This window comes from Homo sapiens, chromosome 14 (genome assembly GCF_000001405.40).
Source record: "Homo sapiens chromosome 14, GRCh38.p14 Primary Assembly".
NCBI classification, from domain to species: Eukaryota; Metazoa; Chordata; class Mammalia; order Primates; family Hominidae; genus Homo; species Homo sapiens.
The window spans coordinates 24,588,524-24,610,643 of NC_000014.9; the positions used below are offsets into that span (position 1 = coordinate 24,588,524).

Sequence of the window (22,120 nt, forward strand, 5' to 3'; positions counted from 1 at the left end):
ACATGCGTGTGCAAGCTTGTTTCTCGTATAATGACTTCTTTTCCTCTGGGTAGATACCCAGTAGTGGGATTCCTGGATCAAATGACAGTTCTACTTTTAGTTCTTTAAGGAATCTCCACACTGTTTTCCATAGTGGTTGTAGAAGTTTACATTTCCACCGGCTTTGTAGAAGTGTTGCCTGTTCATCACATCTATGCCTACATCTACTGTTTTTTGATTTTTTGATTATTGCCATTCTTGCAGGAGTAAGGTGGTATTGCCTTGTGGTTTTGATTTGTATTTCCTTGATCATTAGTGAAGTTGAACATTTTTTCATGTTTGTTGGCCATTTGTAAATTTTCTTTTGAGAATTGTCTATTCATGTGCTTAGCCCACTTTTTGATGGGATTTTTTTTTTCTTACTGATGTGTTTGAGTTCATTGTAGATTCTGGATATTAGTCCTTTGTCAGATATATAGATTGTGAAGATTTTCTCTGACTCTATGCGTTGTCTGTTCACTCTGCTGATGGTTCCTTTTGCCCTGCAGAAGCTCTTTAGTTTAATTAAGCCCCAACTATTTATCTTTGTTTTTATTGCATTTGCTTTTGGGTACTTTGTCATGAAATCCTTGCCTAAGCTAATGTCTAGAAGGGTTTTTCCAATAGTATCTTCTAGAATTTTTATAGTTTCAGGTCTTAGATTTAAGTCCTTAAGCCATCTTGGTTGATTTTTATATAAGGTGAGAGATGAGAATTCAGTTTCATTCTCCCACATGTGGCTAGCCAATTATCCCAGCACTATTTGTGGAAAAGGGTGTCATTTTCCCACTTTATGTTTTTGTTTGCTTTGTTGAAGATCAGTTGGCTGTAAGTATTTGGGTTTATTTCTGGGTTCTCTATTCTGTTCCATTGGTCTATGTGTCTATTTTTACACCATGTGTCTATTTTTAAACCAGTACCATGCTGTTTTGGTGACTATGACCTTATAGTATAATTTGAAATCAGGTGGTGTGATGACTCCAGATTTGTTCTCTCTGCTTAGTCTTACTTTGGCTGTGTTGGCTATTTTTTGATTTCATATGAATTTTAGAATTGTTTTTTCTAATTTGGTAAAGAATGATGGCACATGTGTACATATGTAACAAACCTGCACGTTGTGCACAAGAACCCTAAAACTTAAAGTATAATAATAATTAAAAAAAACAGTGAACTTCTCAAAGGAAAAGAAAAAAAAGAATGGTGATGGTATTTTGATTGAGATTGCATTGAATTTGTAGATTGCTTTTGGCAGTGTGGTCATTTTCGCAATATTGACTCTACCCATCCATGAAGATGGGATGTGTTTCCATTTGTTTGTGTCATCTATGGTTTCTTTCAGCAGTGCTTTGTATTTTTCCTTGTAGAGGTCTTTTGAATCCTTGGTTAGGTATATTCCTAAGTATTTTATTTATTTATTTATTTTGCAGCTATTGTAAAAAGGGTTGAGTTCTTGATTTGATTCTCCACTTGGTCATTGTTGGTGTATAGAAGAGCTAGTGATTTGTGTACATTAATCTTGTATCTGGAAACTTTGCTGAATTCTTTTATCAGTTCTAGGAACTTTCTGGAGGAGTCTTTTGGGTTTTCAAAGGAAACAATTCTATCACCAGCAAACAGTGACAGATTGATTTCCTCTTTACCCATTTGGATGTCCTTTATTTCTTTCTCTTGCCTGATTACTCTGGCTAGGACTTCCAATACTGTGTTGAAGAGGAGTGGTGACAGTGGGCATCCTTGTTGTGTTCCAGTTCTCAGAGGGACTGCTTTCAACTTTCCTCTATTCAGTATCATGTTGGCTGTGGGTTTGTCATAGATGGCTTTTATTACACTGAGTTATGTCCCTTGTATGCCGATTTTGCTGAGAGTTTTAATCATAAAGTGGGGCTGGATTTTGCTGAATGCTTTTTCTGCATCAATTGAGATGATCATGTGATTTTTGTTTTTAATTTTGTTTATGTGGTGTATCACATTTATTGACTTGCATATGTTAATCATCCCTGCTCCCTGGTATGTAACCCACTTGATTATGGTGGATTATCTTTTTCATATGTTGTTGGATTCAGTGAGCTGGTATTTTATTAAGGATTTTAGCATCTAAGTTCATCAAGGGTATTGGTCTGTAGTTTGTTTTTTGGTTATGTCCTTTCCTGGTTTTGGTATTAGGGTGATGCTGGCTTCATAGAATGAATTAGGGATCCTTCTTTCTCTGTCTTGTGGAATAGTATCAAAAGGATTGGTACCAATTATTTGAATGTCTGGTAGAATTCTGCTGTGAATCCATCTGGTCCTGAATGTTTTTTTTTGTTGGTAATTTTTCAGTTACCAACCAAATTTGGTAATTTTTCCATTGCAATTTCATTGCTTTTTATTGGTCTGTTCAGGGTATCTAATTCTTCCTGATTTAAGTGAGTGGTGTCGTGTTTTTCAGGGAATTTATCTATCTCTTCTAGATTTTCTAGTTTATGTGCATAAAGGTGTTCATAGTAGCCTTGAATGATCTTTTGTATTTCAGTGGTGTCAATTGTAATATCTCCTGTTTCATTTCTTAATGAGGTTATTTGGATTTTCTCTCTTCTTGGTTAATCTTGCTAATGGTCTACGAATTTTATTTATCTTTTCAAAGAACCAGCTTTTTGCTTCATTTATCTTTTGTATTTTTTTTGTTTCAATTTCATTTAGTTCTGCTCTGATCTTGGTTATTTCCTTTCTTCTGCTGGGTTTGGGTTTAGTTGGTTCTTGTTTCTTAAGTTCCTTGAGTTGTGACCTTAGAATATCAGTTTGTGCTCTTTCAGTCTTTTTGATGTAGGCATTTAGGGCTATGGACTTTCCTCTTAGCACCGCCTTTGCTGTATCCCAGAGGTTTTGATAGGTTGTGTCATTATCACCATTTAGTTCAAAGAATTTTTAATTTCCATAGGTATATAACTTAAAGTATAATAATAATAATAATAGTAATAAAAGAATTTTTAATTTCCACCTTGATTTTGTTTTTGACCCAGTGCTCATTCAGGATCAGGTTATTTAACTTCCATGTATTTGCATGATTTTGAAGGCTCCTTTTGGAGTTGATTTCCTGTTTTATTCCACTGTGCTCTGAGAAAGTGCTTGATATAATTTCAATTTTCTTAAATTTATTGAGGCTCATTTTATGGCCTATTATATGGTCTATCTTGGAGAAATTTCCATGCACTATTGAATAGAATGCGTATTCTGCAGTTGTTGGATGAAATGTTCTGTATAGATCTGTTAAGTCCATTTGTTCCAATGTATAGTTTAAATCCATTGTTTCTTTGTTGGCCTTCTGTCTTGATGACCTGTCTAGAGCTGTTAGTGTAGTATTGAAGTCCCCCACTATTATTGTGGTCGTATCTCATTCCTTAGGTCTACTAGTAATTGTTTTATAAGTTTGGGAGCTCCAGTGTTAGGTGCATATATTTTAGGATTGTGATATTTTCCTGTTGGACAAGGCCTTTTACAATTATATGTCATTCTTTGTCTTTTCAACAGCTGTTGCTGTAAAATTTGTTTTGTCTGATATAAGAATAGCTACCCCTGCTTGCTTTTGGTGTCCTTTTGCAGGAGATGCCTTTTTCCACCCTTTTACTTTAAGTTTATGTGAGTCCTTATGTGTTAGGTGAGTCTCCTGAAGGCAGCAGATAGTTGGTTGGTTTGTTTTTATCCCTTCTGCAGTTCTGTATCTTTTTAAAAATGCTTTACATTCTGGGATACATGTGCAGAACGTGCAGGTTTGTTACATAGGTATACACGTGCAATGGTTGTTTTCTGCACCCATCAACCCATCATCTACATTAGGTATTTATCCTAATGCTATCCCTCTCCTAGCCCCCACTCCACAACAGTCCCCGGTGTGTGATGTTCCCCCTTCTGTGTCCATGTGTTCTCATTGTTCAACTCCCACTTATGAGTGAGAACATGTGCTATTTGGTTTTCTGTTCCTGTGTTAGTTTGCTGAGAATGATGGTTTCCAGCTTCATCCATGTCCCTGCAAAGCACATAAACTCATCCTTTTTTATGGCTGCGTAGTGTTCCGTGGTGTGTGTGTGCCACGTTTTCTTTATGCAGTCTATCATTGATGGGCATTTGGGTTGGTTCCAAGTCTTTGCTATTGTGAACAATGCTGCAATAAACATATGTGTGCATGTGTCTTTATAGTAGAGTGATTTCTAATCCTTTGGGTATATACCCAGTAATGGGATTGCTGGATCAAATGGTATTTCTGGTTCTAGATCCTTGAAGAATCACCACACTGTCTTCCACAATGGTTGAACTAATTTACACTCCCACCAACACTGTAAAAGCATTCCTATTTCTCCACATCCTCTCCAGCATCTGTTGTTTCCTGACTTTTTAATGATCATCATTCTAACTGGCATGAGATGCTATCTCGTTGTGGTTTTGATTTGCATTTCTCTAATGACCAGTGATGATGAGCTTTTTTTCATGTTTGTTGGCCTCATAAATGTCTTCTTTTGAGAAGTGTCTGTTCCTATCCTTCACCCACTTTTTGATGGGGTTGTTTGTTTTTTTCTTGTAAGTTTGTTTAAGTTCCTTGTAGATTCTGGATATTAGCCCTCTGTCAGGTGGCTATATTGCAAAAATTTTCCCCCATTCTGTAGGTTGCCTGTTCACTCTGATGATAGTTTCTTTTGCTGTGCAGAAGCTCTTTAGTTTGATTAGATTCCATTTGTCAATTTTGGCTTTTGTTGCCATTGCTTTTGGTGTTTTAGTCATGAAGTCTTTGCCCATGCCTATGTCCTGAATGTATTGCCTAGGTTTTCTTCTAGGGTTTTTATGGTTTTAGGTTTTAAGTCATTAATCCATCTTGAGTTAATTTTTGTATAAAGTGTAAGGAAGGTGTCCAGTTTCAGTTTTATGCATATGGCTTGCCAGTTTTCCCAACACCCTTTATTAAATAGGGAATCCTTTCTCCATTGCTTGTTTTTATCAGGTTTGTCAAAGATCAGTGGTTTTAGATGTTTGGCATCATTTCTAAGGCCTCTGTTCAGTTCCATTGGTCTATGTATCTGTTTTGGTACCAGTACCATGCTGTTTTGGTTATTGTACCCTTATAGTATAATTTGAAGTCAGGTAGTGTGATACCTCCAGCTTTGTTCTTTTTGCTTAGGATTGTCTTGGCTATACAGGCTCTTTTTGTTCCATATGAAATTTAAAGTAGTTGAAGTGGAGCATTTAGGCCATTTACATGTTAGTATTGAGATGTGAGGTACTGTTGCATTCATTGTGCTATTTGTTGTCTTTGTACTTTTTTTTTTTTGCCTTTTGTTTTGTTTTATAGGTCCTGTGTGATTTATGCTTTAAAGAGGTTCTGTTGTCATGTCTTTCCAGGATTTGTTTCAAGATTTAGAGCTCCTTTTAGGAGTTCTTGTTGTGGTGGCTTGGTAGTGACAAATTCTCTCAGCATGTGTTTGTCTGAAAAAGAATATATCTTTCCTTCATATATGATGCTTAGTTTCGCTGGATACAAAAATCTTGGCTGATAATTGTTTTGTTTGAGGAAACCGAAGATAGGGCCCCAAACCTTTCTAGCTTGTAGGTTTCTGCTGAGAAATCTGCTGTTAATTGGATAGGTTTTCCTTTATAGGTTACCTGGTGCTTCTGTCTCACAGCTGTTAAGATTCTTTCCTTCGTCTTAACTTTAGATAACCCAATGACAATGTGCCTAGGCAATGATCTTTTTGTGATGTATTTCCCAGGTGTTTTTTGTGCTTCTTGTAGTTGGATGCCTAGGTCTTTAGCAAGGCTGGGGAAGTTTTCTTCGATTATCCCCCCAAATATGTTTTCCTAACTTTTAGATTTCTTTTCTTCCTCAGGAATACAGATTATTCTTAGGTTTGATTGTTAAACATAATCCCAGACTTCTTGGAGACTTTGTTCATATTTTCTTATTCTTTTCTCTTTGTCTTTGTTGGATTGGGTTAATTCGAAGACTTTGTCTTTGCGGTCTGAATTTCTTTCTTCTACTTGTTCAATTCTATTGCTGAGACTTTGCAGAGCACTTTGCATTTCTGTAAGTGTGTCAAATGTTTCCTGAATTTTTGATTTTTTTTCTTTATCTATTTCCTTGAATATTTCTCCCTGCACTTCTTGTATTGCTTTTTGAATTTCCTTGCATTGGCCTTCACCTTTCTCTGGCTCCTTCCTGATTAGCTTAATAAGTAACCTGAATACTTTTTCAGGTAAATCAGGGACTTATTCTTGGTTTGGATCCATTGCTGGTAAACTAGTGTGATTTTGTTTTTTTTTTTTTAAAGAGCCTTGTTTTGTCATATTAGCAGAGTTGTTTTTCTGGTTCCTTCTCATTTGGGTAGGCTCTGTCAGAAGGAAGGTCTAGGGCTGAAGGCTGTTGTTCAGATTCTTTTCTCGCATGGGGTGTTCCCTTGATGTAGTACTCTCCCCCTTTTCCTATGGATGTGGCTTCCTGTGAGCCAAACTGCAGTGATTGTTGTCTCTCTTCTGGGTCTAGCCACCCAGCAAGTCTACCTGGCTCTGGGCTGGTACTGGGAGTTGTCTGCATAGAGTCCTGTGATATGAACCATCTATGGGCCTCTCAGCCATGGATACCAGCACCGTTCCAGTGAAGGTGGTGGGGGAAGGGAGGTGAAGTGGACTCCAGGAAAGTTCTTAGCTTTTGTAGTTTAATGCTCTATTCTTGTGCTGGTTTGGCCTCCTGCCAGGAGGTGGTGCTTTCCAGAGAGCATCAGCTGTGGTAGGATGGAGAGGAACCAGTGGTGGGTGGGGACCTAGAACTCCCAAGATTATATGCCCTTTGTCTTTAGCTACCTGGGTGGGTAGGGAAGAACCATGAGGTGGCAGCAGGGCTAGGCATGTCTGAGCTCAGACTCTCCTTGGGTGGGTTTTGCTGTGGCTGCTGTGGGGAATAGGGGTGAACTTCCCATGTCAATGGAATTGTGTACCTAGGAGGATTAGGGCTGCCTCTGCTGAGTCATGCAGGTTGTCCAGGGAAGTGGGGGAAAGTCAGCAGTCAAAGGCGTCATGCAGCTCCTATGCAAATCGAAGGGCTGATCTCATTCCAACTGTGCCCCAAATAACAACCCTGAGTCTGTTTCCAGGCAGTGGGTGAGCTGGGCATGAGAACTTGCCCCAGGCTACCTCTTCCAGCTGTGAAAGAAAAGGGCTTCAGTTCTTCCCCAGGCTGTGGAGTCTGCACACTGGATTCATGACCTCCCCCAAGTTCTGGCCAGGAAGCTTCTTGCCCAATTCAAATTGTTGCAAAGTTCAGCTGGAGATTTCCTTCTTCCTGTGGCATTTTCCTGTTGCTCCTCTGGCCACCCTCCCAATGGATCCGTGTGGTCCCTGGCAGGAATGTCTTGCTTGGGGACCGAGTGAGCTCTTAGAGCCTTTCTGCTGCTTCCTCTACCCCTGTATTTTACTCAGCTCTCTAAATTGACTCAGTGCCAGGTAAGGTTGGAAACTTCTCCCACAAACAGAGCTTCAGTTTCTTCAGTAGGGATGTGTGTTAAGGAGAGGAGGATCTCCCCTTTCCACTTCCACAGTTGGGGCACTCACAGTATTTGTGGTGTCTCCCGGGCCCTGCGGGAGCAGTATGCTTCTTTCAGAGGTCTGTGGGTCCTCTTGGGATTGCTGGTTTGTTCTTGCCATTGATATGGAGAAAAAATTCACAGTGTGACCCTCCACAGGCTGCTCTGTCTGTCCGAGTTGGAGCTGCAATCTAGTCCTGCCTCCCGTCTGCCATGATGATTTCTAGATGTCTTTTCTTTTCTTTGTGTCATCTTCATTTTATTTTATCAGTGTTTTCTAGTTTTCAGTGTAGAGTTCTTCTTTCACCTCTTTCATTAAATTTGTTCCTTAAATATTGAATTTTTTGGTGGCTATGGTGAATAGGATTGCTATCTTGATTTCTTTTTCTGCTAATTTTTATTGGTATATAGAAATGCTATTAATTTTTGTATGTTGATTTACTAAATTTGTTTATAATTTCTAAGAGTTTTTTTATGAAGTTCTTAGCTTTTTCTTTATTTCAGATTGTAATGTCTCCTTTTTTGTTTTTGCTTTCATTTATTTGGGTTTTCTTTCTTTTTTTCATAGTCTAGCTAATGGTTTGTTGCTTTTGTTTATCTTTTCAAAAAGCCAAGTTTTTGTTTTGCTGTCCTTTTCTATCTTTTTCTCTATTTCATTTAGCTCCTCTCGTTTTTTATTATTTATTTTCTTCTACTAATTTTGATTTTGGTTTGTTCTTGCTTTTCTGATTCCTTAGGTGCATTTCCAGGTTGTTTATGTGAAACCTTTCTACTTTTTTGATGTAGTGTTTGTTACTATAATCTTCCCTTTTAATATTGCTTTTGCTTATCACATAGGTTTGGTATGTTTTGTTTCCATTTTCATTCATTTCAAAAACTTTTTTGATTTCTCCCTTGATCCAATGGTTGCTCAGGATGTTTTTAAATTTCCATGTATTTGCATAGTTTCCAAAGTTGTTCTTGTTTTTGATTTTTATTTTTATTCTATTGTGGTCTGAGAAGATACTTGATATGCTTTTGATTTTTAAAAATTTATTGAGGCTTGCTTTATGGCCTAACATGTGGTCTTTCCTGGAGAATGTTGCATGTATTGATGAGAAGAGTGTGTATTCTGCATCGGTTGGATAAAGTGATCTGTAGATGTCTGTTAGGTCCATGGCCTACAGTGTGGTTGAAATCCAATGGTTCTTTTTTGACTTTCTGTCTAGATGACCAGTCCAATGCTGAAAGTAGGGTGTTAGAGTCTCCAACTATTGTTTTGGCATCTATCTTTCCCTTTAAATCTAATAATATTTGCTTTATATCTTGGTGCTCCAGTGTTGAGTGCATATATATTTGTAATTGTTATATTCTTTTGCTGAGCTGATCCCTTTGTGATTATATAATGACCTTCTTTGTCCCTTTTTACTGTTTTTGACTTACAGTCTGTCTTATTTGATATAAGTATAGCTACACCTGCTTGCTTTTGGTTTCCATTTATGTGGAATATCTTTTTTTCATCCTTTCACTTTCAGTCTACATGTCTTTACAGGTGAAGTAAGTTTCTTGTAGGAAGGATATAGTTGGATCATGTTTTTAAAAATCCATTCAGCCAATCTGTGTTTTCAGTGGGGAATTTAATCTGTTTATGTTCAAGGTTATTGTTGATAGGTGAGAATTTATTTCTGTCATTTTGTTTATTATTTTCTGTTTTTTTGTATATGTTTTATTCCTTTCTTTCTCCCTTGTTGTTTATAATTGTGATTTGAATGTTTTCTGTAGTGGCAATATTTTAGTCGTTTCTTTTCTCATTTGTACATCTTTTCTACCAGTGAGTTTTATACTTTCATGTGTTTTCATGATGCTAAATATTCTTTCACTTCCAGATGTAGGGCTCCCTTAAGCATTTGTTTTAGGACTAGTCTAGAGGTGATCAATTCCCACAGTGTTTTCTTGTCTGGGAAAAGCCTTGTATCGCCTTCATTTTGGAAGAATAGCTTTTCTGAGTATAGTATCCTTGACTGCTAGATTTTTTTTTCTTTTTCAGTAATTTGAATATATCATCCCATTCTCCTGGTCTGTAAGGTGTCTGCTGAGAAACACACTTTTAGTCTGATGGGGGTTCCCTTTCAAGTGACTACATGCTTTTCTCTTGCTGCTTTTAAAAAATCTCTCTTTGTCTTTCACTTTTGACATTTGACTATAATGTACCTTGATGAAAACCTTTTTGGTTAGATCTATTAGGTTGGTGCAAGAGCAATTGTGGTTTTGTCATTAAAAGTAATAGCAAAATCCCAATTTCTTGTACTTTCTCTGTCTTTTTTTTTACTTTAAGTTCTGGGATACACGTGTGGAATGTGCAGGTTTGTTACATAGGTATACATGTGTCATGGTGGTTTGCTGCATCTATCAACACGTCATCTAGGCTTTAAGCCCCTCATGCATTAGGTATTTGTCCTACTGCTCTCACTGCCCTTGCCCCCAATCCCCTGACAGGCCCCAGTGTGTGATGTTACCCTCCCTGTGTCCATGTGTTCTCATCGTCAGCTCCCACTTATAAGTGAGAACATGTGGTGTTTTGTTTTCTGTTCCTGTGTTAGTTTGCTGAGAATGATGGTTTCCAGCTTCATCCATATCCCTGCAAAGCACATGAACTCATCCTTTGTTATGGCTGCATAGTATTCCATGGTGTATATGTGCCACATTTTCTTTATCCAGTCTATCATTGATGGGCATTTGGGTTGGTTCCAAGTCTTTGCTATTGCAAATAATGCTGCAATAAACATAAGTGTGCATGTGTCTTTATAGTAGAATGATTTCTAATCCTTTGGGTATATGGCCCATAATGGGATTGTTGGGTCAAATGGTATTTCTGGTTCTAGATCCTTGAAGAATCACCACACTGTCTTCCACAATGGTTGAACTAATTTATGCTCCCACCAATACTGTAAAAGCGTTCTCATTTCTCTACCTCCTCTCCAGCATCTGTTGTTTCCTGATTTTTTAATGATTGCCATTCTAACTGGCATGAGACGCTGTCACATTGTGGTTTTGATTTGCATTTCTCTAATGACCTGCGATGATGAGCTTTTTTTCATGTTTGTTGGCCTCATAAATGTCTTCTTTTGAGAAGTGTCTGTTCATATACTTTGCTCATTGTTCATGGGGTTGTTTGTTTTTTTCTTGTAAATTTGTTTAAATTCCTTGTAGATTCTGGATATTAGAACTTTGTTGGATGAATAGATTTCAACAATTTTCTCCCATTCTCTAGGTTGTCTGTTCACTCTGATGATGGTTTCTTTTGCTGTGCAGAAGCTCTTTAGTTTGATTAGATCCCATTTGTCAATTTTGGCTTTTGTTGCAATTGCTTTTAGTGTTTTAGTCATGAAGTCTTTGCCCATATCTATGTCCTGAGTGGTATTGCCTAGGTTTTCTTCTAGGGTTTTTATGGTTTTGGGTGTTACATTTAAGTCTTTAATCCATCTTGAGTTAATTTTTGTATAAGTTGTAAGGAAGGAGTCCAATTTCTGTTTTCTGCATATGGCTAGCCCATTTTCCCAGCACCATTTACTAAATAGAGAATCATTTCCTCATTGCTTGTTTTTGTCAGGTTTGTCAAAAATCAGATGAAAACTCCAATTTCTTTTGCACCAACCCAATATTTGTGGATCTTTGAGCTTCCTATATCTCTTGTAAGACTTGAGAAGTTTTTAGCTACTATTGTATTTTATAAGTTATCTATGCCTTTCTCATCTTTTCTTCTGGAATGCCCAAAATTCAAATATTTGGTGGTTTTATGGTGTCTCATGTCTTACATAGCTTTCTTCATTTTTTTTTTTTTGTTCTGAGTTATTGCAAAAGACCTGTCTTTGAGTTCAGAAATTCTTTCTCACGCTTGATCTAGTCTATTGTTAAGGCTTTCAGTTCTTTTTTTTTTTTTTAAATTTTGCTCATTGAATTGTTAAGTTGCAGGATTTCTGTTTGGTTCTTCTTTATGATAATTATCTGTTTGTTAAATTTCTCATTTAGATAATGAGTCATTATTCTGATTTCTTTGTATTGTTTATTTATGCTCTCTCATGTATCACTGAGCTTCTTAAAGATCATTAAGTTTAATTCTTTTTCAGGCATTTCATAGATGTCTTTTTTGTTGGAATCTGTTGCTGGATAATTATTCTGTTATCTTGGGGTGTTATGTTTCTTTGCTTTTTCATGTTTCATGTGTTCTTACATTGGTATCTACATATCTGGTATAACAGCCACTTTTTCCAATTTTATGGATTGGCTTTCATAGAACAATGTCTTTTCCTTATAGGTGTATCTACAGTGGTGGCTGGGTAAAGCACTTTGGCTTTGATTCTGGGAAGAGGCAGTAGTGTAGTCTCTGTGTGATTTCTTTGGGTATAATCAGTATCAGTGGTGCCTGTGAGTTCCTGAGTATCTTAGGCTGCAGTTATTAGTGGAGGCTACGGTAAAACTTTTCTCAAATGGGGACACCAGGTGGGCTGGTCTTTGGGCACCAGTGGTGGCAGTGGTGGGTTGGATATGCTGATCTTTGGGCCCCTGGGCAGTTACTTGAGCATTGATGGTAGTGGGTTTTTTCAGGTCAATTATTAAGCCTCCAGATGGCTTGCTTGGGTGCCAGCAGTGGCAGCAGTGGGCCAGGTCTTGGTGATGGACCCAAGGCAGGAGGGTCCTTGGGTCTCTGGGTGGTTTGTTTGGCATTTGTGATGGCAGTAGCAGTGTCAGGCCAACCCTTAGCCTCCCACAAAGCATGTGCATATGTTAGTGGTGGCAGTAGTAGGCTGGGTGGGCTAGTCCTCAGGCCCTTAGGTGGCATGTGCAAGTGGTTGATGGCAGTGGTGGTGGCAGCCGAATGGGCAGGCCTGTCCTCTGGCTCCTGGTAGGTGTGCATAGGGGTGCCAGTGGTGGTGGGAAGAATGGGTCAATCTCTGGGACCCAGATGATGTGTGTGAGTGCTGTTAGGCTGTGTGGGGATGATCTCAGTCTCCCAGAAGGTGTGCATGGGAGCCTGTAGTAGCAGGAGGGGCAGGTCCATCTGTAGACACCTGGATGATGCATGTGGTCACTGATAGGGGCTGTGCCAGCCAAAATAGTCCTGTCCTCAAGTCCTCTGATGATATGTGCTGGTGCAGACTGCAATGGGTGGGGTGGGTTGATATCCAGGCCCCCAGATGGTGCACTTGAGTGGCAGCAGAGGTGATGGTAGCAGCAATGGGTAGGGTGGGCCTGTCCACAAGCCCTGGGACAGACTCCATGTGGGCCAGTCCCCAGGACCCTAGAAGTGGCACTGCTGTATGGGTTGGGGAGGGTGGCGATACAGGGTTGCTGTCAGTGGCAGTGGTCCCAGGCAGATGGCTCTCAGGCTCTGAGGAACATGTGCTTTGGCTCACTTTGTCTCAGGGACAGGCTTATGCTGAATTCTTATGTTCTGTCTTAGAAATACTATTTGATACGTGATTATCTACCTACTGTTGTAGTCTTTCTTTGTGGAGGAAGCAAGTGCTGGCTGCCTCTAGCCAGCTATCTTTATCACCTAATATTAAATGGAAAAAGTAGAGTGTAAAACTATACAATTTGACACGAATTTGACAGAATTGTGGGAAAAGGGCAATAATCAGAACAACAATTTTATGTGATTCTTATTTTCACTTTATATTATTGATTTTTTTCTATAATGGAAATATATTCGTTTTATAAGCAGGAGAAGAAATGTAGAGCACATGATCCTTATAAACAGTAAACACCATTAAGCATTTTGATAGAGACAAGCCAGCAGTTTGGCAAAATAATTTCCTTTTCTTCTGAGGGAAGAAATGTAGTTCATTTCATTGATGAGCTACGTTGTCCACCTCACTTGGGGTTAGGTGTGGCTGTGTGATTGTTGCAGTAAATGAACGTGAGTGGAAATGATGTGGGCACCTTCCAGACCTGGCCCAGAACACACTCCTATGCCTGATCATCTAGGCTTTTCCTCTTCCATGGTTTGATGCAGAAGAAGTTGGGGAAGGATCTTTAGAGAACTGAGCCTGGATCTCTTAATCCTGGGCTGACCATGTAATTTGTTGGCCAAACTGGAACACGTAAGAATAAAAGGATGCAACTGTTCACTGGGAATATTCATTTTGTACTGTGTGTGGGCAAGATACCAACTTCGGCCGGGCGTGGTGGCTCACACCTGTAATCCCAGCGCTTTGGGAGGCCGAGACGGGCGGATCACGAGGTCAGGAGATTGAGACCATCCTGTCTAACACGGTGAAACCGCATCTCTACTAAAAATACAAAAAATTAGCCGGGCGTGGTGGCGGGCGTCTGTAGGCTCAGCCACTCAGGAGGCTGAGGCAGGAGAATGGCGTGAACCCGTAAGGCGGAGTTTGCAGTGAGCCGAGATCGTGCCACTGCATTTCAGCCTGAGCGACGGAGCGAGACTCTGTCTCAAAAAAACAAACAAACAAAAAAAGAACAGAAATCAACTTCTGTTGTGCTAGTCACTGAAATTCTGAAGCTTATTTGTTATAATAGGGTTATCTTAATTCACACATGTACAAACTTAAGCCAACCTTTTTCTCATATGGAATATTGTTAAAAAATAAAGTTAATATAATAATCGTAAAATTTAAAAAGTTGAATACATTACAAAATAGAAAGAAGAATCATGTCAGCCTTAATCCTACCACCCAGCTGACAGTTAACAGAGATGTACTTTCACCCAGATTGTTTCTTTGTATATTTTTACATAGATGTGACTAAAATATATTTATTTTTGAATCATATATTTTAAATTAACATAAACATTTTCCTCATTTTATTAAAAATCTATTAGTGAATATCATTTTAAAATGTTATTCATATCTAATAAACAGACTTTTAATTTACTAAATAATACATAAAAGTTATAGAAAAATTAAGAAAATAGATACATAGGAAGCAAAAATGCCTACAGGAAAAAGGTGTATATAAGCATGGCCAACTGTGATGGTTCATACCTGTAATACCAGCACTTTGGGAGGCCGAGGCAGGTGGATCACCTAAGGTCAGGAGTTTGAGACCAGCCTGGCCAATGTGGTGAAACCCCCTCTTTACTGAAAATACAAAAAATTGGCTGGGGGTGGTAGCACATGCCTGTAATCCCGGCTACTTGGGAGGCTGAGGCAGGAGAATCACTTGAACCACAGTGACCCGAGATCACACCACTATACTTCAGCCTGGGTGACAGAGCGAGACTCTGTCTCAGGGAAAAAGAAAAAAAGAAAAAAAGTGTATATAAGCACAAATTTAATTGTAGTATATACCAATCTATAATCTAGTTTTAGCATAAACATACCTGGTGAATATTCTTCCATGTGACAAAATGTAGTTATATATCGTAACTTCAGGGATTTCATAGTGTTTAATAATATGCAGCTTTAAAAAATGAATCCCCCAATTAGTGCTGGATATTTGCATTGTTTCTAAGATTTTACTTGTATACCAAGGTTGTTATAAGGAAAAACTGTGTTCAGTTTTCTTTGTGTGGTTGATGGCTAGGTCAAATACTTTTTTTTCCACATAAAATCCAGCTCCTGCAGGTCAAAGAATCTCTTTTCTTTTTTGGATCTTTGTGTACAAGCCGTGAAAATACCGTTTTCTCAATGCTTATACTGAATCTGAATATTATCATTTTTGTAAATCCTTCCCAATCAGATAAGCAAAAGTTATTATTTTAATTTGTATTGATTAATTATTTTCCAAATGTTTACTTTTTTCCAAATGTTTATGAGTTTTTTTTTTAAAAATGAACTTGCCTATTAATGTTGTTAGCCTAGTTTTTTATAGCTGTGGATAATGTAGATGTTAATGGCTGCAAAATGGATATGTTGAATGCATGATATTTTACCATTTCCCTATTTTGGACATGAATACTGATTCTAATATGGGCTCTATTATTAAATAATGTTGCAATGAACATATTTATGAATAACCTTCACACACACAACACACACACACACTCTTCAGATCTTACATAGGATAAAGTCCCATGCTCAATGTCAAGTGTTTCTGTTAGATCTAAGAGGGAAGACTGACCCACCAGGCACTCTCTTACTAGGGTCCTTTGGCCCTGGTGGCAGAAATCTTTGGTCACTCTGCCGCTGTCTTTGGCTTACACCCTGGGACTCCATAGAGCTCTACTTGGCTGGTTTTTTGGGGTCTTTGTGCTTCTTCTATGTGATGGCCCCCTGACTCTTACGTGTGCTGCTGGTCACTTGCTTATCTCTGCATATATTGACTCCTCTCTCACCTGTGCTGCTGCCAGTACTGCTTCCCAGGGAAAGGCTTGGGAGATAGACATCATGACAGCCTTATGTGAAAAATAAGTCTATTTGTTTTTCCTCTTATTTTTCAATGTGCTGGATTTTTTCCCTGTATGCGTGTGATTTATTTGTTATTCTTTTCAGTGAAGTTTCTACTTTTTTCAGTGTTGGTCCCATTTGTTTCAGTGTTTGCCAGCTATTGTGAGTTTACAGTGTTCTGTCACATTTAACTCATTAGCAGTACTATTTGAGAGATCAGGATCCTAAATAAAGTCAACGGGGTCACTATTATATTAACTGTCTCACACTTGAACTGTAGCATTTCTTAAGTTTGTGGACTGAGGTTAATGTCTTCTATATGCAGAATAAACAAAGCCAAGGCTGCTCTGGTTGTCTTCTTCCTTCCTTCCTGATATAATTTGGCTCCGTGTCCGCACCCAAATTTCACCTTGAATTGTAATAATCCTCACATGTCGTGGGAGGGACCCAGTGGGAAGTTATTGAATCGGGGGGGCCAGTTTTTCCTGTGCTGTTCTCGTGATAGTGAATAAGTCTCACGAGATCTGATGGTTTTATAAAGGGGAGTTCCCTGCACAAGTTCTCTTGCCTGCCGCCATGTAAGACATGACTTTGCTTTTAATTCACCTTCCGCCATGATTGTGAGGCCTCTCCAGCCATGTGGAATTGTGAGTCAACTAAACCTCTTTCCTTTATAAATTACCCAATCTCAGGTAAGTTCTTATTAGCAATGTGAGAACAGACTAATACACTTCCACACCTCTGGACACAGACTCCACTGAGCATAGATTAAAAACTTTAGGACCTGAGAATCTCCAAGTCTCTTCTAATTTCACACACTGTCCTTCTGGAATCAAGCCAGATCATGCATGTGAGGCTGTAATGAACACTACAGGTAGAATATAGATAATTTAATTATTTTTAAAACAAGATTTCTTGTAGATTATAAATACAGATCCGTTTGTGCCAAACTGACCTGCCTGGTAGAAGCAGAGGAACCAGGAGAATTGAGATGAAACTTTTTATCATTGTAAAATTTCCAAAAGCAGGGACAGGGCCTATTATATGCCTGGCACAAAGAGAGAGATCAGCAAGTATTAGTCTATTGATAACTGGCATAGTGTTACTTCCAGCCCAGTGGCCCTGGAGCCCTCTGGTGCACAGCTGCCATAACCCCAGATTGCCAACAGGGGGAGTCTGGGTCTGAAGCCAGGCTAGGCTGAAAGATGTTGAGGCTGCTGGGTGGCTCCCCAGAAGGTGATGCCTGAGACCCTGGGGAAAGCTGCACTGGACTGAGGGCCTCAGCTAGCCCTGCCCAGGTGGAAGGTGAGAGCTGGCTCCTCTGATCAGCATCAGGTGGGCTGGCAGCCGAGGTCTGGCTGGGACAAGCAGTAGAGAAGAATTCACACAGAGCTGGGAACTCTGTTAGGGACATGAGAGAGAGGCTGGCTTCAGAACAGGGTGATCTAGAAGGGAAAGAAACTGGTAGCCAGGGCACTTGGGTGAAAAACTCTTGGGAGCTGGGAAGGCCGGCCAGGAAGGAAGAAGGTTGACTGAGCTCAGGGCTGGGCCCAGGGCAGGGAAGAGGGACCTAGGTGCAGAGGAGCATCTCAACCTCCTAAGCTGCAGGCAGACCTGGCTGTGGGAGAAGCCTGCCCCCATTGGAGGGACAGGCCCTGAAAATAGGAAACTGAGTACTCATGGCATGGCCCCTGGCCTTCTGAGTCCCTGGAGTTATTTCCTTTCCACTGCCCTGCTCCATTCTCTGCTACGTTGTTAGGGGAGTAGGTAGTTGGTTTAGAGACGATAAGAAATTCCTAACGTCCAGAGAGGTTTATTTTTTTTTGTGAAGGGAGAGGGGTGAAGATTGTTTGTTTATAATGGAGTTCAAACCAGCTCTAACAGAGGGTTCAGTATCAAAGACATGTGATTGAGAAATTAGTGAAAAAACTGTACAGCATGGGGTTTAGGGAGGAGGGAGGGCTGGGGGAGAAAGGAAGAAGCAAAAGCCAGAACTGACAGCAGACGGCTGCCTGGAGCAGTGTTGTTGCATATTGAAGATGGTTCAGTGAATAAATAAGACTTCAGTCATATTTACACCAGAGATCCATTTATTACAGTCCTGCAACCCCGACTGCCCACCCCTTGGGGATTCTTGCCTCTGTCCCAGAGATGGTCAGGCCCAGAGGAAGGTTAGTCTCATGCCTGCTGTTAGAGGCGCTTCATTGTTCTCTTTATCCAGGGCAGGAAGTGTGAGACCTTGATGTAGACTCCTGGAGGTGTCCCTTTTTTGTTTCCATAGGAGAGAATACCTTGGGCTACGTCCTTACACACGAGGGGCCCCCCGGAGTCCCCCTGTGAACAGAGAGAGGAAAGACTGAGCTAGTGTTCCCTGGGATGGGTGGTCTCTGTTATGGATTTTGTGTGACATCAGTGCCAGGCAGGCCTTGTCACTCACCTCCCTCAGTCCTGGGTCTCCAGCATGGCCCTGGCTGTGCTTTCTGGCTCTCCCCAGACCAAGCCTTTCTCTGCAATTCTCACGGACACTTTGGTGATAAGTGACTGTCGGATGACAGATCCTTCCCCTCCAGCCACCCCAGTCCACCCAAGGAGTGGACTAAAGACTAGATTCCAGGGGGACACAGGCTGCCCAAGCTCTGGGCTGAGAGCATAAAGATCTGGCCACTGTCATACCCCAGAACTCCCTCAAGTTCCTCTCTCCCTGTGGTCTTTCTGGGTAGAGGCTGGAAACCCAACCTTGAAACCGGTCTGTGTCTTCTTTGGATCCCCCACACAAATCTCAGTGGCTCTGCTGTAATTGCCATGGAAGAGACGTTCACACTGGCAGTCCTTCTGCACTGTCAGCAACACTTCCTGCAGTGTGGTTGCTAAAGTGCTCATTGAGACATAACCCCAGCCAGCCACACTGCACAGCTGCCCTGGCTTCACCTGGGCCTTGCTGCTAGGTAGCCTGAGAGGCCGCACAGCTGTGGTCCACTTGGCCTTTCTCTCCAGCTGGTGGGGAAGAAGCAAGAAAGTCCAGGTCAGGCAATGGCCTTCTGGGCCCCGACACAGTGATGGGGCTGCACAATCTTCCCTCTCCTCTAAGGCACAGGAACTGACCAAGAGGTCAGGATGGAAAGGAGGAAAGGGCCGGCATCCCAGTGGGAGTGGAACCAACTGGACCAAGAAGAGCAAGAGTGGCAGGAGTGTGCCTCACCTGCAGTAGCATGATGTCGTTGGAGAAGTTCTTAGGATTATAGGCTGGATGGGGGATGGGTCTTTTCACAGGGATAAACTGCTGGGTCCGCTCCTGTTCCTTGATATTGTGGGCCCCCAAGGTGACATTTATGGAGCTGCACAGAGAGCAGAGTGAGGATGGGGGTGGAGTCACAGGGGATAGAGCCCAGGAGCAGTGAAGAGCAGATGACAGCTGTGGCAGGGTAGGGCTGCAGCTGAGGGGAAGTTGAAGGGACAGGAGGGCTCCAGGGCTGAGTGACTGTGCCCTCTACTTCACAAAGACATGAAGAGTAGGGCTTCTGGGGGCTCTCTCTTGCCTTCAGGAAATATCATGAAATTGCTCGAGTTTGCATTTTGATCCTTAATGCATGGATTCAACCTTTACTACTGCCTTATTGGGCCAGTGTGTGAAACCATGCCACTTGCTCTGACCTCTGACCCTCTGACCCTCTGACCCTGTCCTATTTCTCAGCCTTTCATCATCTTAGTCCTATTCCCAGGTGGCTGCTCCGATGAGCTTTCATGGGCTTGTGTTACCAGGAACTCTGGAAGCTCCCCTGGGCTGCAGTCCCCAGGAGAAAACAAGGGTCCCTGTAGGGGGAACTCAGGAGGTGAGCTGGTGCTGCTCCTTACCTTCCCTGGCAGTGAGCAGCTGTCAGCACAAAGTCCTTTCTCACTAGGATGCCGCCACACCTCTTCCGACTCTTCTCTTGCAGAAACTGAACAAAGGCCATGTAGGGGCGGGAGTGGGGCTTGGCCTCATGGCCCCCGATGATCTCCTCTGAAAGGAAAGACTGGAAGATAAAGTAGCTGGGGATGGCTGCAGTCAGGAGAGAAGGCTTAGGACGACAGTGATTGAGGGTGAAGTGTTTTGTGTGCTGCAGACAGTGAGGGAGGGGTCCTCCTGAGCTCTGCAGGCAGTACTCCTTGCAGGCAGAGCAAGCTTTTCTGAACTTTAAGTCTCAGAACCTTCTCTCAGAAAGAATGGACAGTGCTTGACTTCTGCATCCTACTGCAGAAACACACATGGAGGAAGAAAGATCTATTTTCACAGTGGTAGAGCCCCAGAGGATCCTGGACAGGACTTCCCAGGCTCCTCCTTTTTAGTGAGTCTCTCTGATTCCTCTGAGCCTCTGCTGTCCTCCTGATTGGTGCCATTTTCTAATGATCTACCCATGAGCTTCTGGAGTTGGATTTTCTAAAATTCTCATGTGCCAGGGCTGAACACATTCTAGGTTCTCAGTAAGTGTTGTTTGGTGCATAAATGAATAGCCTCCAATTAGCCTTTGGCTGAGGTTTAGTGGGGGTAGTGCTGGTGGGATTCAGGACCTCAGGGATGTTAGAGGGGGTTATCACCAGGTCAGTGGAGTAGCTGAGGGCCTGCAAAGGCAGAAGGAAGTGGAGAAATCAACTAAAAATGAATCGCAAAGCCCAGGTGGAGCCAAGGTAATGGGAGAGCTATGGACACAGTCATCTTGCCATCTCTGAGATCAGTTGCACCATGGGCTTCCCTCCTGGCAGGGGTGACTGGGTGGGGGCACTGAATAAGTGGTTCTTAAGCTGAGTCCAGTAACAACTCCTATGACTGCAACTTGGTGTCTGAGCTCCTCTTTCCTGGGTTGGAGTGTAGAGTAATAATTACTTATCTTTTTTAGCTTCACATTCCCTACCAAATGCCTTTCTAAGAACAATCCACACTCCAGGTCATAAAGGAGAGGTCTAGGGAGAGGCTAACACCCATTAAACCTTTTAGGGAACACCCTTCATTTTTCGATCTTTGCTGAGTGTCTATCTAGCCTCAGATTTATAAGTCTGGGTGTGGAATGGGAGGTGGGCTCAGATTGAGGAAAATTCCTGACCAGTGCTCATGGGTACAGGGTATCTTATAAGATGGGTTCAGGCCTCTGGAATAGGGATAGTCACTTACCTGTCCCAGCCCCAGGGGTCAGAAGAAAGGCCAACAGGAGGAGGAATGGCTGCATTTTCTCAGGAAGGCTGCCCAGGTCAGAGCTGTTGGTGTTGACTCCTTCCAGAAACAAATGCTGGAGGGAGATGAAGGAGGGATGGGTACAGTAAACTCAGAGACCTCCTAGACTTGTCCCCTTCTGGTTTTGATGGGTGTCATTATAGAAGGTGGTTTATTAAAATTATCTGGTTTGGTTTAAGTTGACATGGCACTGTCACATTTACACCCCTGCTGCTGAGTAACAAGGTGAAAGCAAGAATAAAGAACAAGGAGGTGGAGCTGTTGAAGCTGTGGCTGCAGCTAGCAGAAAGGCTGGTACTGCAGAAGCTCCTCAGTGACTGAGAACCAAGAATGTCTCCTTTTCTCAGTTCTTGGCTCTTTTTCTACTCAGATAAAATCATGAATAATTATTTAGCAAGCCAGATCCAGGGATATGAGAGACATGGCTCTTGCCCTTGAAGAATTGATGGTTAGCAAGAGTAGACTGAAAATCTGGGGTTAGAGCACAAGATGGTAAGGGCCGTGGTGGGGAAATCTGCCTGTTGGTGTGAGACGGAGGCTGGACTTGCCTTAGCAGTATGCAGAGTTGCACACACCCAACAAATACTGCAAATGGCAACCCATTCCTATCTTACCACTATCTCAGATTCATATTTTTGGGATATTTAGAATCCCCTCTTTAAATATAAATATTCTGTGACAAAGATAACTTTTTTTATTCCACAGTTCTGCACAAAAGTTCTGGACTTGATATTTATTGAACCAAAATGAGTCATCATTGGGTCCACTGAAGTGTAGTGGACTGATTGCTTTATGCTTTGGTTATTTAGCCCTCCTTAAGCTGAGGTGGGGACTGTTCCACTCCATCTATGGTGCTTATGAATGAGGAGGGGATTTCCCTTGAGAAATGCTAGTTGTTGTTGCCAGGTGATGGAAAAATGGATGCTGATCATCCTGATAATAATTGTTCACTAAGGCCGGGCGCGGTGGCTCATGCCTGTAATCCTAGCACTTTGGGAGGCCAAGACGGGTGGATCACGAGGTCA

General features: G+C 41.4%; 1 protein-coding gene across 3 annotated transcripts, besides 1 other annotated feature; it reads right to left on the minus strand.

The window, feature by feature from the left end:
- Positions 17,244-17,743: an enhancer, noted in NCBI's record as "H3K4me1 hESC enhancer chr14:25074973-25075472 (GRCh37/hg19 assembly coordinates)". NCBI's record gives its function as "activates a minimal SCP1, AML or CMV promoter by ChIP-STARR-seq in primed H9 embryonic stem cells {active_cell/tissue: H9 hESC(primed)}" and the evidence as "EXISTENCE:reporter gene assay evidence [ECO:0000049][PMID:30033119]".
- On the minus strand, positions 17,957-21,162 carry GZMH (granzyme H). 3 transcript variants are annotated; one of them, NM_001270780.2, is made up of 5 exons: positions 21,036-21,162; positions 19,742-19,889; positions 19,089-19,224; positions 18,818-18,883; positions 17,957-18,223 (listed from the first exon to the last, which is right to left on the minus strand). In NM_001270780.2, exons 1-5 carry the CDS (start codon positions 21,088-21,090, stop codon positions 18,080-18,082), a joined length of 549 nt encoding a protein of 182 aa, NP_001257709.1. In that variant the 5' UTR covers positions 21,091-21,162; the 3' UTR covers positions 17,957-18,079. The 3 variants fall into 3 exon arrangements, with proteins under 3 accessions (NP_001257709.1, NP_219491.1, NP_001257710.1); NM_033423.5 differs by having other exon boundaries at positions 18,626-18,883; NM_001270781.2 differs by lacking the exon at positions 18,818-18,883.
- Positions 21,163-22,120: the final 958 nt, after the last annotated feature.

Bases quoted from the DNA above. Each gene is read 5' to 3' on its own strand.
- GZMH (NM_033423.5), bottom strand. From the start codon at position 21,090: ATGCAGCCATTCCTCCTCCTGTTGGCCTTTCTTCTGACCCCTGGGGCT. The intron at 18,884-19,088 runs GTGAGGCACACT...CTTCCCCACCAG, and splicing joins ACGACATCATGCTACTGCAG to CTGGAGAGAAAGGCCAAGTG. The intron at 18,224-18,625 runs GTTGGGTTTCCA...CTCTGTTCACAG, and splicing joins AGACACAGACCGGTTTCAAG to GGGGACTCCGGGGGGCCCCT.